At 44.3% G+C, this 16,399-nt stretch overlaps 5 annotated features.

Annotated features, from left to right (window-relative positions):
* Positions 3,175-3,380: a silencer, noted in NCBI's record as "fragment chr8:61563068-61563273 (GRCh37/hg19 assembly coordinates)". NCBI's record gives its function as "represses an EF-1alpha promoter that drives an FKBP-Casp9 reporter gene in an ReSE screen in K562 erythroleukemia cells {active_cell/tissue: K562}" and the evidence as "EXISTENCE:reporter gene assay evidence [ECO:0000049][PMID:32094911]".
* Positions 4,327-4,827: an enhancer, noted in NCBI's record as "H3K27ac hESC enhancer chr8:61564220-61564720 (GRCh37/hg19 assembly coordinates)". NCBI's record gives its function as "activates a minimal SCP1, AML or CMV promoter by ChIP-STARR-seq in primed H9 embryonic stem cells {active_cell/tissue: H9 hESC(primed)}" and the evidence as "EXISTENCE:reporter gene assay evidence [ECO:0000049][PMID:30033119]".
* Positions 4,327-5,236: a biological region, named in NCBI's record as "H3K27ac hESC enhancer GRCh37_chr8:61564220-61564720".
* Positions 4,367-5,236: a silencer, noted in NCBI's record as "silent region_19226". NCBI's record gives its function as "represses an Ori minimal core promoter by ATAC-STARR-seq in GM12878 lymphoblastoid cells {active_cell/tissue: GM12878}" and the evidence as "EXISTENCE:reporter gene assay evidence [ECO:0000049][PMID:35858748]".
* Positions 6,393-6,592: an enhancer, noted in NCBI's record as "active region_27424". NCBI's record gives its function as "activates an Ori minimal core promoter by ATAC-STARR-seq in GM12878 lymphoblastoid cells {active_cell/tissue: GM12878}" and the evidence as "EXISTENCE:reporter gene assay evidence [ECO:0000049][PMID:35858748]".

Consider the following 16,399-nt stretch of genomic DNA (forward strand, 5'->3'; position numbering starts at 1 on the left):
CAAAGCAAGACACCATCTCTTAAAAAATAAAAATTAAAGACATGTAAAAATAATTAAAAAATGCAATGTGGTAACTGCAATAATAGAGGCAGCCCACGTGGAAGGGGCTCTAGGAAGTCTTCGTATTCTTGGCAGAAAGAACAGCATATGCAAGGTTGAGAGTGGTGGGTGGGTTAGGGCAGCAGTCTGATGCGTCAGAAGCAAGGATGTAGAAAACAAAGACAGCAGTGTAGACTGTAGGTAAAGGAGGGGCTGGATCATGATGGGTGTCTGAATCAGGCACCATCTGAGGTGGTCATCAAAGGCATATTCCTTAGGGGTTTTTGTAAAGACTTTTAAGAAGTGTGGGCAGAGTTAAGGGAATCAACAACGGTGAGGCTCCCAGGGCCCAGCAGCAGTGGGAAGCCAGGCCCTCCCCTAGCCTGAGAGGAGAAGATGGCACAGCCAGAGTCGGGCCATGCACTAGAGGCAAGGAAGAGTGGCCACCTGTTGAGCCCTAAGAAACACTAGAAAAAAGATCCGGAAAACTATGTGCTTGTTATCAGATTTAAAATATTTTTAAATATTTGTACTATGTTTTAATATCTGGGTTAGAGAAATATCACATGGTAAACGCTTAATTATGGAACTCTGAAAAAAAAAAGACACATCCATTAGCTAATAAGAGGCCAGGTGGTTCTCTTTAGTAGGGCCTGAAGAGGTGTCTCCACTGCCCCTGGGGCACCTCGGATGTTAAGACACTGGGCACAGCCATGCCTGTTACCCCGATGGCAGAGTGACTCGATAGGTCGGGCTTGCCAGCTGCTGTCCCTTCCTCCATGCTGTTCCCTAGATGTCACTTCACTGTACAGGAGCTAGAGAACCAGTTGTTGGCCAAAGATAAAGAGAACTAAGTGCTAAGTGGGAGGATGTGTGCATACAATCTTTTTCTGCCTCTCAGCCCAAACATCAAATCCTCACACTGATCCTTAATCACAAAAGTTAAACAGACTTAGCCAACTCAATTTTCAGTGATAATGAGCATCGAAAATCACATGGATTAATAAGTCACAAATCATCCCCTTCAGAATAATTTTATTTCTAACTTCTTAACCCTCCTTATATAGGCACTGTAAACAAGCAACAACTGGGATTGATCTGAGACTGACTACACTCTTTTTTCTCCTGTCTTCGGCAGAGCTACAGATGAGCGCTCTAATGGCCACAAACTACAGAACCAGTGCCTAAAGAGAGAGACCACAGGAACTGTAAGGGGTAGTGACCCGTTAGCCTTGATTGCCATTAGCGATGTGCCAGCTCTCAGCCAAAGGTATAGACTGAAGAAGAGAGGCAAAAGAAAATTTTAAAAACACAGTCCTTCATCTCAGCCACGCTAATGAACCTCCAACATTCCTGTCTTGCCCTCTTGGTTCCTCCTCCCTTCTCCATCTTCTGAAGGTTTGGGTGATTTGTAGGCATTCAGCCAACAATTGAGTGACTGAGTATGCTAACACATCTTCGGGGACTAACACATTAGATGCCGTAAACACAGCCAGTAGGTATAGAGTTCTATGGAGCAATAGGTCTGAAGGAAGAAAAAGAGGGGGAAAGGTAACAGAGAGACAGGAAGTGGAAAGACTTACCCATGCACCCACTATCCATGCCAAGGGTCTGTTCAAAAGAGCACAGAAGGCTGGGTGTGGTTGCTCATGCCGGTAATCCCAACACGTTGGGAGGCCAAGGCGGGAGGATCACTTGAGCCCAGGAGTTCCACACTTAGCCTGGGTAATATGGCAAGGCGCTATCTTTAAAAAAAGTAAATAAATTAGGCCGGGTGCGGTGGCTCACGCCTGTAATCTCAGCACTTTGGGAGGCCAAGGTGGGGGGGGGGCATGGAACACAAGGCCAGGAGTTGAAGACCAGCCTGGCCAATATGGTGAAACCCCGTTTCTACTAAAAATACAAAAATTAGCCAGGCGTGGTGATGTGTGCCTGTAATCTCAGCCACTTGGGAGGCTGAGACAGGAGAATCGCTGAACCCAGGAGGCAGAGGTTGTGGTGAGCCAAAATCGTGCCACTGCACTCCAGCCTGGGTGACCGAGTGAGACTCTTTCTCAAAAAAAAAAAAAAAAGTAAATAAATTAGCTGGGTGTAGTGGTGTGTGCCTGTAGTCCCAGCTACAGGAGGCTGATGCAGGAGGATCAACTGAGCCTGGGAGGTCCAGGCTGCAATGAGCTGTGATCACGACACTGCACTCTAGCCTGGGATGACAGAGCAAGACCCTGTCTCAATCCATCAATCAATAAAAGAGGACAGAAGAAGAAAATTTGAAGGGATAATTCCGTTAAAAATTATACGGGTGCTTGACTTAACAGATGGCCATCTTATACTCACATAGCCACCTGAAATATAAATGAATGAAAAGGCTAATGCAAAAATGTCTAAATTAGTAAACTGTCCAAGAGGTCTGATAAAAATGAATTAATAATCTCTAAGTTGAAAAATGAATATTCATATATATAGCTATAAGTCTGTTTAGTGAGTGATTGAAAATACGTAGCCACAGGGCTTTGAGCAATCAGGCTGGAATCCCAGTTCTATACCCACCGACCGTCAGGCCTTGGGCAAGTTACTTAACCTCTAGAGCATGTTTCCAAATCTTTAAAATGGGATAATAACTGTACCTGCCTCCTAAAATCTTTGTGAAGATTAAATAAAATACTTAGAATGGTGTTTGACATATACCAAGTGTTCTATAAATATTATCACTCTATATAAAGTTACATATTTAATGCCAAAGCAAAAATCCTAAGGAAAACACATGCTGGAAAAGTCTCAAACTTATTTTTTGAGGCATTTTATACCTTATAGCCTACATCATATTGCCTAATGTTTGGGTTTATTATAAACAACTTTTTATTTCACTCAGCTTAATCTCTAAATTTTAATCACTCAATAACTTTTAAGTAAAACCAGTTTAATTATAAAAATTAAGAATTTAAGCGCTAGGAGTTTAAATAAAACTAAATCTGCTTCACTCACACAACTATTTATGGTTCACTTCTAGGGACAGCTATCAGAAATCATGCTAGTTATTTCTGCTTTTTTTATTCCTGTATTATGATGGATGAGGGTGAGGCGTCTAGAAAACTGTCATATGAGGAAGCGGCAACGTCTTACAATTTTCCTTATATCTTTTCTCTTTTCCTTACCAAAAAAAAAAAAGACATATTGCATTAGTATAAATTTGAGGAAAGTCTGTAAATTTAATTAACATCAAATCTGGTTTAGTGGAAATCATTCTAATAAGAAATGAGGTCATGTCTCTTGCAATGAATCATGTCATTAAATTTATCTTCTTTCTGAAGTCTTTCCTTCATTTGTTTGTCATTTCCAAGTCCTTAATTGTTGTTGATTACTCAAATAAAATCAGGTTTTTTAGTTTTGAAAAGATATGAAACTGATGCTAAAAAAATCTCTATCTCTACACGTCTGCTTTTAACTTTACAATATTTTTTCTACCCAGTTTTTTTAAAGCAAATACCAAGTTTATTTTATTCAAAATCTTCATTTATCATGTGTATCTCTTATTTCACGGGTGTCTTCACATATTCCTCTATTGTTTTAATTTTCTTTTTCTTTTTTTTTTTTTTTTAAAGAGACAGGGGTTTAACTATGTTGCCCAGGCTGGACTCAAACTCCAGGGCTCAAGTGAACCTCCCAAGTAGTTGGGACTACAGCATTGCGCCCAGCCTAATTTTCATTTACTCCACAATTACACTCTACGAGATTACAACCTCACTTAAATAACACCCACGTATTTTCAAAGATAATCTTGGGAGAATTATCATCTTCTCAAGGGCTCTTTCAAAGGTCTCATCTACTCCAAGGCCTTGAGATACGATTCAATCCATAGGACACATCAAGATTTCAACTCTAGTCAGAATCAGTATTTTAACAATGGAAGCAAACTGGGAAAGCTAAGCAGTCTCGCGTCTTTACACACATGGAAACTATGACCATATATATTATACTTTTCCTTAACATTTTACAAAGGACATTCAGATGACTTATCACAGGTCCTAATTAAAAGAATCCTGAAGACAAAGCCAAGTCATTTTCATAACACTTGACCCTTTTCAACTACCTTAATATTTTTCATCTTAAAGGAAAGCTTTATGTCAAATCCAAGTATTTTATCTCCTTGTTAAAGCTGAGCTTGTATTTTAAATCAGCACCTTTATGCCAGTCTCAGAATCTCAAAACAGTTACATTTTCCCCTACGGTGTTCCCACCACTGAAAGGCCCCCAGGCGGGGCTGTCCAGGACCCTCGCTCCGCACCCATTTTGATCCCAGGAAGGGCGGTCGGGCAGGGACGGAGACGGCCGCGACCAGACAATGTCCTGCATTCACCGCGGCCTCGGCCAATCACAGGCCGGCGCCTCCCGGCCCCGTGCGGCGCCACCGGCCACTGCTCCGGCCGGAGGAAAACCTGGCTCTAGTCGGCCATCTGCGGCTAATCCAGTCAGAGCGCGCGGCGCTCCCACGGCGCCCGGCCCGGGGAAGGGGTCTGGGCAGCAGGCGCCGCGGCGTACCCCGGGGGCAGGGTCGCGAACTGAGGGCAGGACGCGCCGCCCCCTCCGCCCGAACGCGGCGCTGTCCCTTTAAGATGATCCTCCTCCCGGGGCCAAGCAGCGCGTTGGCGGCCCCGCCGCAGGGGGCAGCGACATCCGGGCTACCGGACTGGCGACGGCGGCGGCCCCTCGGGCAGCTACCAGTCCCCGCGGGATGCCCGGCTCACCGCCGCCGGAGAAGAGGAGCCCTCCAGGCCAAAAAAATCCCCCCAAGCCCAGGGTCGCACCGCGGCGGCCGCGGCATGTGCCGCCACCCGCCTCCGCCTCGCAGACTCCGGGGCCGGGACGCCGGGGCCAGCACGCGGGTCACGAACGCTCAGCCTGCGGGGCCGCGCGGCGCGCGCCCGCCTCAGGACCGCCCCACCTCCTGCGCGTGCCCAGGGGGCGGGGCGCTGCTGATCAGCCAATCAGCGCCAGACTCCAGGGACCGCCCCTGAAGTCTTCTTAGGGGGCGGCTCTGGAGGGGGAACTTCGTCGGGGGGGAGCGGCGGCTGGCTGTGGGTGTGGAAAAGCGGGCGCGCCAGAGGGGCTGGGAAGGTGGGAGCAGAGGGGCTGGGAAGGTGGGAGCGGAGGCGCTGGCCCCGACTCCTAAGCTGTGCGGAAGTGAAAGGGGCGGGAGCGGCGGGGAAGGGCGCTGGCCGCGCGTGAGAACCGGCGCGGGCGAGCCGGGGGCGGGGAGGCGCCGGGAGCAGGTGGTGCAGCCCGAGGTGTGCGGGAGGGGCTGGCATGTCCTGGAGATGGGAAAAGCGGGGATGGATGTGCTGAGCTAATAAGCGTACTGCCAGAGCTGTCAAGGTTTATTTATGCAGGACAGAGAACTTAGAGAAGTTATTCACTGACTGGTGGACACACGTTCTAAGATTTTCCTCCGTTCGGTTTAAGAGAAAAGTGCTTACATGTTTCTGATGCCTGGTGATATTTATTAAAATTGAAAGTTGGTCACTTGATATTTTATCATAGGGTTGGGAGAAAGAGGAACAAAAGGCATTTATAAAGCAAAAGCCATTTCTGCAATGCACTCTATTAAAAATTTGAGAACGAATGTGTTTCAACAATCGGATGCATTGAATTAATTTGTAGGAGGGTAGAGTGAGGCTTGTATTGGCTGGGAGATTCACTGCCAGGTGGTCATGCATAAGCCCCTACCCCAAGCTCTCATTTTCCCTACCTGCAGAATTAGACCAATGAATACCCCACCTGTCTCACCGCATGTTTTGAGATTCCGCGTGTGTGAGGGAGGGAGGGCTGGAGCGCAGGCCGGTGCCGTCTGGGCCGCCCTCTCTCCCGGGCGTGCTCTGGACCGTCTCGTCCCCTCCGGGCGCGTCATCCTGCTTTCGGAACCCCCGTGTCCTGAAGTCCAGGCATATTTAACTTGGGTGCCACAGAAATCTCAAAATCTAGGTGTTCTCAGCGGAGCTGGGCACCTTCCCTACAAGCCTCGCGTGTTTCCTGTCTCAGCAAAGACAACACTACAATCTGGTCATTATCCCCCTACCCCAATTCACCTAGCCCCGGGATCCGTTTTGCGTCTGCACTTCAGGCCGCCTGGTTGTCGCTGCTGCAGCTCTCATACCTCGGTGCGGGGCGCGGCGTCTCCCACCTGGACCTCCGGCGACCGCTCACCGCTCTCTCCGCCTCCGCCCTTGCCCCTCCCCTGTCTCGACAGCACAGCCAGTCAGATGCTTTATTTTAATGTAAATCTGTTCGTGTCACTCCTGTTTACGATCTTTTATGGGCTCTCTGTTGCTCTCGGGATAAAGTCCTATCTCCTTAAATTCGCTTAATAGGGCCCTCCTAATCCAGTTACCGCTTTCGTCTGCGGCTGGATCTTTTACCTTGGGCCGCTCCTCCAGCCCTTCTTCGCGTTCCGCCTAACCTGGACTGCTTTCACTTCTCTCAACTTGCCGACTCAAGCTGCTGCAGCACTTCTCCGTCTCCTCCCTGCTTCTTTCGTTTCCTGCACCTCCTTCCCCAGCGTGAGCGTTAAGGGCGCCCGTGGAACCCCTTCCTTTGCCGCGCACCGGTAGCCTTGCACTGCCGTGGGCTGCGGTCCGACCTGGGGCGCGTCCCACGCCAGCCCTTTGGAGCATGGGCTGCATTGTTCCGGTTTCCTAGGACGGTCCTGACAATACTGGCAGAGCCCAATAACCCTTTTAGGATACACAGTGATGGGCGCAGAAAACCAAACAAGTAGCCTGAGATCTTTGCTGATTGATTCATTTTATATTGCTGTATTTTTCAGTTTTAAAATTTTCCACTTTATAAGAATAGCATTTTTTTAAATTATATAAATTTAAAACTGATAATGACGTTTTACACCACAAACAATTACAAATCTCTTTTAGCAGAAAGTGTGTGTGGTTTGTGAAATGAAATCAGGAACAGTGGCTCGATGTTCAATGCACATGGGCAGAAATGTTCACTTTAAACTCAGATGCTGAAACTTTAAAACAGCTGAAACTCATGCCCCAATAATCATTAAAGGAAGGACCAGAAGAAAAGAGCAGTAAGCTGGGCTTATTATTAATTTGTAGGCTAGTAATTATCGATAGGTTAAGAAATTGCTTTGTTACTGGCTTTTTTAAAAAAATCCTGGTACTGTTAATATTTCTATTGTTTATATGAGACGTCAGTGTAACAAATTGGAATTCTCATTTTCCCAGTGCTCCCTCCTAGCTAGCAATGATAACATATGTGCCTTTGGATCTGTAGTATTTCTAAACATGGTTCTGCTACACACTTTCCAATAAAGTTAAACAAGAATTCTTTGTTGAGCTATGTAATATTTAGAGGGGAGGATAGGGGAATAAATCTTAACTACTGCGAATTGTTTCCCTTCAGCCTAACTCTGAAGGAGATCCTTGTTGGTTTTTTCATTACTGTACTACTAGGCTGTTTACTTTGTTACACTTTTGTGGAAGGGAGCAGAACTTAGTAAATAATAAAAAATAAAAAATAAGTGGGGAGAGTTTAATAAAATAAGCAAAAAATAAATGAAATATAGAAGTAAAGTAATAATGCACTTTTAGTTAGAAAAATTTGTTTCTATGCTCTGTGCTATAATTAACATAAGCTCTTATGCCGCTCAATTTATCTAATGAAAACAATATTTCAAGCAGAAGAAATAGGCATTATAGTTATTTACTGTTTCTACAGAAAAATATTATTCAAACATGAATCTTATCTGTTTATAGGACCTGTCAAATAGCTATTATAAACAAATGATAAGAGAATAATAAATGCTGGAGAAATGGCTTTTCTTTTGGAGGTAGGCTTGAATAATTTTGAGTTTAGAAAACATTTTAGACACTCTAATTTGGTAAAAGTCCTAAAATTACACTTCACTTACATTCTAGCTAACTGCATTTTTCACTTTTTAAACCTGTTGAAAAATCTTATTTCCAAACTTGATGGAATGGTAAAGGATTTTTTTAAAGTGTTTATAATGAAACATTTTTAATAGCTAGTTTTAAGAGTATATCTATAATGGAAATACAGTACATTTCAGGCTTATTTATAAGCATGCCAAACCTGATTAGGTGACTACTTGAAATAAACATATTTAAAATGAGATCTAAGAGTGCTGTTTGCTGCATTTGTTGGTTTAGCAGAAATTTCCAGTTAATTGGGCATTGAAAAGACACTGCCAGCCTAGTAGAGATAAGCAGATATGATGACTAGAGAAAGGGAGAGTGGAAAGAGGGTGAGATGTGGGACTAAAAGACTGAGGACTAAGTCAGCGAGCTTTATACCTTCTTCGAGTTATGTCTGAGACTTAGTTTCTACATTTACAAATTGGGCAACTATTTGCCATCTTGACCACCTCGCAGTACTGATACAAGTATCAAATGAGAATAATGTGTGCCGTAAACCTTAAGACACTGGTCAAATAGTAGTTACGGATACTGTTGTACACATTCTACTGTGGACTTGGAGACATTTGGTTTTCATGGAAATCACCATAATAACCATATATATCTCTCATATATAATACAAGAAGTATAAAGAAATCTAAAAAGGAAATAAATTACCTTTTCACAACTCTGATTCTCTAAGGGGGATTCATATGTACTTGCATTTGCTCATGGGTAATAGATGATTACTAGAGACAAAACAGAGCTGATTATTAGAGACAAAAAATAATTGTAATAAGTTTGCAGAGGAATCTGGTACAGTCTAGATTTTGTTATGCTTTAAGTATTATAAAAGCGAGGTAACATTTGTATATAAGGAAGAAACTAAAAAAATAGATAAAAATAGGGCAAGTATTTAATGAAGGATATCATGTTCAATACTGTCAAAGATTGAGAAAGAAGAAAAATAGTCTTCATTGGTGATATTTATGTGTTATTATTGACCCATGATAAATCTGAGGAATCAAATAGCAATGAAAGCAATTCTTCTATATTATCCTGACATCTTCATCCAAGTTTGATATATTTGGCCAGCAGTTAGTCATCCTAATAGGTTTGACTGATAACTTACAATGTGCAGAGTGCTTTAGTGCACACTGCATGAATGGTAAAATAAATATAAGATGCATTTTTTTCCTCAAGGGGGCTAAAATTGGCTTCTGAAAAGTCAAACAAAACCAAGCCCTAGCCCATTTTTGAGTGAGCCTCCATTCTTTGCAAGGGAAGGAGAGCTGGGTGGGTAGTTTCATCTTTGCACCCTTCTAACATGCTCTTCCAACAAGCAGTGGAGGAGGACTCAGGCCTGAATCCATCACCCTCATGCTCCTCCATTGTACCATTATAGGCTGATTCTTTTGGATCCTGAAGTTTTTGATTTTCTAAAGTTTCCCCTTAAAATATGAATCTCTCTAGGAGGGGTATAGATGGTACTTTGATACCTAGATAATCTTTTACCTGCTCAGCAGAGATTGTTCTTATCCTGCAGAGAGCAAGAAAAGGAACAAGATGGAAATGTCAGAAAAGGGAAAGTAAGCGGCAAAGGCAGAGATGCAGAAAGGATCAATGACCACGTGAAGCGAGCTCAAAGAAGCTTTGATGGCTTTGCCTTGGAATAATGTCTCTCTAGCTCTGTTTCTGAGCTGCTCTGGCATCATGACCTGGGGTTCCAGCCTCTGCTCTTAGGGTTCTGGGGTCTGCTTCTCTGGCTCTACCCATAATCCTTGCCTGTCATGGAGTTCCGCTGAGTTCCAACCAGTTTGATGGTAAACTAGAAGGAAAAGCAGTCCTAAGGTTGGAAGACGAGTTCTCTGTGACTTTGAGTCATTCAGGCTTTTACCAACTTCCATTTCCACATTTGTACAAAGAGACGGTGGATGACTTCCCTCTTTTGCTCTGGATTTCTCCCTTTCTCTGTGAAATTTCCTTTTCCCCTCAGTCCTTTCACTGCAATTAAGCCTGTACCACAGGTGGTCAAAATCCTAGCTGCCCCCAGGCCAGGCGCGGTGACTCACGCTTGTAATCCCAGCACTTTGGGAGGCCGAGGCGGGCAGATCACGAGGTCAGGAGATCAAGACCATCCTGGCTAACACGGTGAAACCCCGTCTCTACTAAAAATACAAAAAATTAGCCGGGTGTGGTGGCGGGCACTTGTAGGCCCAACTACTCGGGAGGCTGAGGCAGAATGGCATGAACCCGGGAGGCGGAGCTTGCAGTGATCAGAGATCGCACCACTGCCACTGCACTCCAGCCTGGGCGACATAGCGAGACTCAAAAATAAATAAATAAATAAATAAATAAATCCTAGCTGCCCCCAAAATGTGGAAACAACCTGAACGTCCATTGATGGATGAATGAATAAACAAAATGTGGTATAGACATACAGTAAAATATTATTCAGCCTTAAAAGGAAGGAAATTCTGACACATGCTACACGATAGATGAACTTTGAGGATATTATGCTAAGTGAAATAAGCCAGATGCAAAAGTCATACAAATATTTTATGACTTCACTCATATGAGGTACTCAGAATAGGCAAAATTCATAGAAACAGAAAGTAGAATAAAGGTTACCAGGGGTGCCAGGCGCGGTGGCTCACGCCTGTAATCCCAGCACTTTGGGAGGCCGAGGCGGGCGGATCACAAGGTCAGGAGATCAAGACCATCCTGGCTAACGCGGTGAAACTCTGTCTCTACTAAAAATAGAGACAAAAAAAAAAAAATAGCCGGGCGTGATGGCGGGTACCTATAGTCCCAGCTACTTGGGAGGCTGAGGTAGGAGAATGGCGTGAACCCGGGAGGCGGAGCTTGCAGTGAGCCTAGATTGTGCCACTGCACTGCAGCCTGGGCGACAGAGCGAGACTCCATCTCAAAATAAATAAATAAATAAATAAATAAATAAATAAATAAATAAATAAATAAAAGGTTACCGGGGGTGGGGGAGAGGCGAGAGTGGGGAGTTAGTGTGTAATGGGTACAAAGTTTCAGTTTGGAATGATGGATAAGTTCTGGAAAAGGATAGTGGTGATAGTTGCACAACAGTGGGAATATAATTAATGCCACTGAACTATACAATTTAAAAGGATAAATGTTATGTATATTTTACCACAGTAAAAAGATATATTAAACCAAACAAACCTGGAAGCCCATGGTGGGAACCCTGGCTGAAGACATATTTTGAGTGATTTGCCTAATGCTTTGCACCTGACTTTTCTGTGTAGCTGTTTGAGTTGTGACCCAGCCTCAGTCTCTCCCTGAAAGACAGGACCCCCTCTGTACTCTTCTCCAGGCAAGTGGAGGACTCCTCTCCAGGCAATGCTCCCCATTCTCCCTCAAATACACACTCCTGGACCTGGCCTAGTATCCATAGTCCCCTAGCTCTCACCTAGCAAAACTCTGCTATGGCTTCCTCCCACCACCCTCAAGCTGCCATCCCATCCCCAAATCTCAGTCTCCCATGTTCATTGAGGACATCACCTGGAACTGCTCCATTTCTGAAGTACATCCATGTGCTGCCTATAACCATAGCTTCCCATCCTTCCTGCCTGACTGATTTTATTTCACCTGCTTGAACCTCATGGAGGCCCCCATTCTTTCAGCTTCTCCCCAAGTACCTGCCCCATCCTGATGCCTCACTGTGTACTCCTCCCCTCTTCATCTATCCTGTCTTCTGCATGAGCTCCTGAATGCTGCTGGGGGGTTACCCAGTTGTGTGTACTGGGACCCCTGCCTATTGCTTTATTGTCTGCAACCCAAAGTGAGGTTTAGCAGTCCTTTTCTACAAGTCCATTGGTGACTTCTTCTAACCTTTAAAACTTCACTCTCTAAGCTTCATTCCACAACACTTTAATTGGCTACTAATGCTGTGTAGGAGAGCACTGTTTTGTCATGCTTTGTTCTGCATGAACAAAAGTGCTATGCTCCCTCTGTCCCAAGTGTCTGCTCCAACAGATCCCACTGCCTAGAATACTGCTTCTCTTAATTATTGAGATTCTTAAATATCAAGTCATTACCTTTTGCATTATCTTTTTCTTCCCATTGACTAGTTTATTTTAATACTTAGTATGTCAATTAGAATTAGGTTTGAAAGTACAGAAAATTGCCAAATAACATTAGCATAAACAAAATAGAAATTTTAGGTTGGGTGCGGTGGCTCATGCCTGTAATCCCAGTACTCTGGGAGACTGAGGTGGGAGGATAACTTGAGGCAGGAGTTTCAGACCAGCTTGGGTAACATAGTGAAACCCCACCTCTACATAAACATTTAAAAATGAGCAGGAGTGGTGGTGTGCATCTGTAATCCTAGATAATCAGGAGGCTGAAGCAGGAGGATTGCTTGAGCCCAGGAGTTTGAGGCTGCAGTGAGCTATCATCATACCACTGAACTCCAGCCTGACAACAGAGTGAGACCCTGTCTCTATAAAAAAAGAAAAAAAAAATGGAAGTTTTATCCTAATCCTGTACAACTTCAAGGGCAGACAGTGAAGGTCTGATATGTGTTTACTGCAAGTCTTAAGGATCAATTCTCTTTCAGCTTTGCTTCCTCATCCTGAGGCTGTGCCACTGTCTTTGTGGTCCAAGATGGGGACTAGACTCAAATTCCAGGCAGCAGGGTAGAGGAAGGAATAAAAAAAGGGTAGAAGGCTCACACTGACTGTCTTTCTAGGAAGCTCCCCAGGAGCTTACTACCAATATTTTGTTTATATCCTGTCAGGTCAACTTCATCACACCTAGCTGCAAGGGAAGCTGAGATACACAGTCTTTCTTAAGGGAAGCTGAGATACACAGTCTTTCTTTTGGGAAACTGTGTTTCCAGCTAAAAATTCTATTAGTGTGAGAGAAGAGGAGCAGTGAATATTGGAGGACAAGAAGAGGGTTAGGCCATATGTATCTACATTTAAAAAGATACCTAAATATGACATCATAATCCAGATGAATCTAGATTTCAAAGGTATTCCTACCCAATCTTAATCTCCTTTGTTGGAAAGTCTGACATTTAGACTCAGTAGTTCTTACTCCAAGCAAGTCACTACATTTCCAGGGGTTTTTCTCTTATTAGGTAGTACAAGAATCCAGCGCTGTGACCTTCTTGGGATGAGGCATAGATGTAAGCTGAAAGGGAGTGGAGATAAAGGTATAAGTAGAGTGAAAGGCTCAGTAATTATATACAAATAAAGGATTTTACATGTTGACACTTTTGATCATGACCCCTGAGCCTCACTGGCTGGATTTGCTTTCTACTGTGTTTTTCCCTGGACTTTCTGGGGAGGGTGCTCTGCTCTCTACCAGGCACCTGCAGTTCCACCCCGGGCAGCTGGAGGGCTCTGTTCCACCACGGGCCACTGTGAACGCACATTTATTACCCGGTGTCAGTTGACGCCCTTCTCCAATCGCCCAAGAGAAGATGGCTTCAAAGGCCACAAACAATCTCCACGGCAGGACAGAGTGCTGGCTGCCGCTGCTTGGGAGCCAGGCCTGCACCCCATAGAGTCAGCTCTGGTTTAGAGCCAGCCCTTCCACCCTTGCCACCTTCAGCCGCTAGCCCAAATCTCAACGCTCTTCTCGCCCATTCCCAAACATCTCTGCGCTTCTCCCTTCCCCATCCGATCATTTCTGTTTCCATTATTTTTCTTTCTTCGCAGTTCCTTCCACGGTGTCTTTGGAAATGCTGATTCCTCTCTTGGCTTTGTGCTGTTTTTATTCGCCAAACCTATTCCGTTGTAAACCGACTTCTCTGAATCTCCAACCTCACCACAGGACCAGCCCTCCTTCCCTCTTCCTTGGCTGAGGGTGCACCGCTCCTGCCTCAGCATCTCCTTGGGCTCTGTAAGTTGCTTTCTTTCTTCCTGCAGACTTGCAAGAGCTCCCCTACTTTGAAAGGAGTCTTTGATGCTCTGTTCCTTTCTCTGCTTTCATCACCAAATAAGGAAATTCATAGTACCCTCTGCTCCCATGGCTTCCCACCACTCCTAGCTTAATTTTTTGTCATCTAGTTGTACTCGACACATCTCTATGAAATGAACACCATGATATCATCAGTGAACTTTGAATTATCTAATTCTCTATTTTACCTAATCTGGTAAAGGCATCAGACTCCTTGATTGTAACATGGCACCATTGCCATTGCCCATTCATCAAAATTTTATCTTGTGGCTGTCCCACTGGCTCACGCCTGTAATCCCAGCACTTTGGGAGGCTGAGGCAGGCAGATCACTTGAGCCCAGGAGTTCGAGACCAGCCTGGGCAACATGGGGAGACCCTATCACTACAAAAATACAAAAATTAGCCAGGTGTGGTGGCGCACGCCTGTAGTCCCAGTTACTCATGAGACTGAGGTGGGAGGATTGCTTGAACCCAGGAGGTTGAGGCTGCAGTGAGCCATCATTGCACCACTGCACTCCAGCCTGGGTGACAGAGCATGACCCTGTCTCAAAACATTTTTTTAAATTTTGCTTTCTGTCAAACTACATATTATGGTGTTTCCTTACCTTTTATGATATTGTATTCAGTAATAAAATAATAATATAGCAAACATTTAATGAGCACTTATTTTGTGACAGGCAGACTATAAGGTGCTGTATACACATGTTTCATTTAACCTTCAAAATAACTCTATGAGGTAGAGGAAATTATTATCCCTACTTTTACAGATAAGAAAACTGAGACTTGGTGGCTTACAGAAGTTAAGTGATGTGCGTAAGATGACAGATCTAGTAAGAGTGAGAGGTGGAATCAAACCCAGGCTTACTGAATTCCAAAGCACTGATTTTTTGCCAGCAGAGTGCATTGTTACTATTCTGGAAATCTGTAGTTCCTCTTTTCCTAATTACACTTTCAATATGAAACTTTCCCAGGACTCAGTTTGGGATACCTGCTCACCTGTCTATAGACATTCACTTTCACAGGGAAGTGTTGACTTTCGTGGGGTGAACTCTCTCCTTTACTTACTTTAAAAACCTGTCACTATGGAAAAAATTTAAACATACACAAAAATAGGAAGAACTGTATAACCACAACCCCCTCCCCAGGTACTATCACCCAAGTCCAACAATCATCAATTTCTGGCCACTCTTGTTTCCTCTGTACCCAACTGTCCCCATTTCCCACCCTCATTGGGTTTTTTATTTATTTACTTTTGAGACAGGGTCTTGCTCTGTTTCACAGGCTAGAGTGCAGTGGTGCGATCACAGCTTACCGCAGCCCTGACCTGGAGGTTGAGGGGCTCAAGTCATTCTCCTACCTCAGGCTCCCAAGTAGCTGGGACTACAGTTGCATGCCACCACACCTGATTAATTTTTGTATTTTTCGTAGAGACAGGGTTTTGCCATGTTGCCCAGACCGGTCTCAAACTGCTGGGCTCAAGGGATCCACCTGCCTTGGCCTCCTAAAGTGCTGGGATTACAGGCATGAGCAAACGCGCCTGGCCTATCCCACTGGATTATTTAAGGCAAATGCCAGAAATCATATCAGTTCATCTGTAAAGATTTCAGTGTATATCTCACACATATAAGGACTCATTAAAAAACCCCAACCACAATAACAAAAATATATCTAAAAATTAAAAAGAATTTCTTAATGTCAGTGAATATTCAGTGACATCAAATTTCCTCAATTGTGTAGTACTTTTTTTTTTTCTAAGAGCTGTTTTATTAGATCAGGACTCAAATAAGGCCAATAAGTCACACTTGGTCGATGTGGCTCTTTAAGTGCCTTTTAATCTTTAGATTCTCCTTCCCTCTTTTTTACTTTTTTCTTGAGATTTATTTGTTGAAAACGTTGGTTCAGTAGTCCTGTGTAATATCCCACATTCTGGGTTTTGTTGATTGAATCCCCATTTTGTTAACACGTTTGTCTCACCCAAATTTCCAGTGAATTGGTAATCAGATTTAGAGGCTTGATCTGATTCAAGTTCATTTTTTGGCAAGATTTCATGGGTTATACTAGGTACTGCCATTAGAAATCCTGTTTACCAGCCAGGAGCAGTGGCTCATGCCTGTAATCCCAGCACTTTGGGAGGCCGAGACAGGTAAATCACCTGAGGTCTGGAGTTCAAAACTAGCCTGGCCAACAAGGTGAAACCGCGTCTATTAAAAATACAAAAATTGGCCAGGCGTGGTGGCTCATGTCTGTAATCCCAGCACTTTGGGAGGCAGAGGTGGGCGGATCACCTGAAGTCAGTAGTTTGAGACCAGCCTGGCCAACATAGTGAAACCCCATCTCTACAAAAATACAAAAATTAGCTGGGCATGGTGGCGCTTGCCTGTAATCCCAGCTACTTGGGAGGCTGAGGCAGGAGAATCACTTGAACTTGGGAGGCAGAGGTTGCAGTGAGCCGAGATCATGCCATTGCACTCCAGCCTGGGTGACAGAACAAG

This window comes from Homo sapiens, chromosome 8, assembly GCF_000001405.40.
Source record: "Homo sapiens chromosome 8, GRCh38.p14 Primary Assembly".
NCBI lineage: Eukaryota > Metazoa > Chordata > Mammalia > Primates > Hominidae > Homo > Homo sapiens.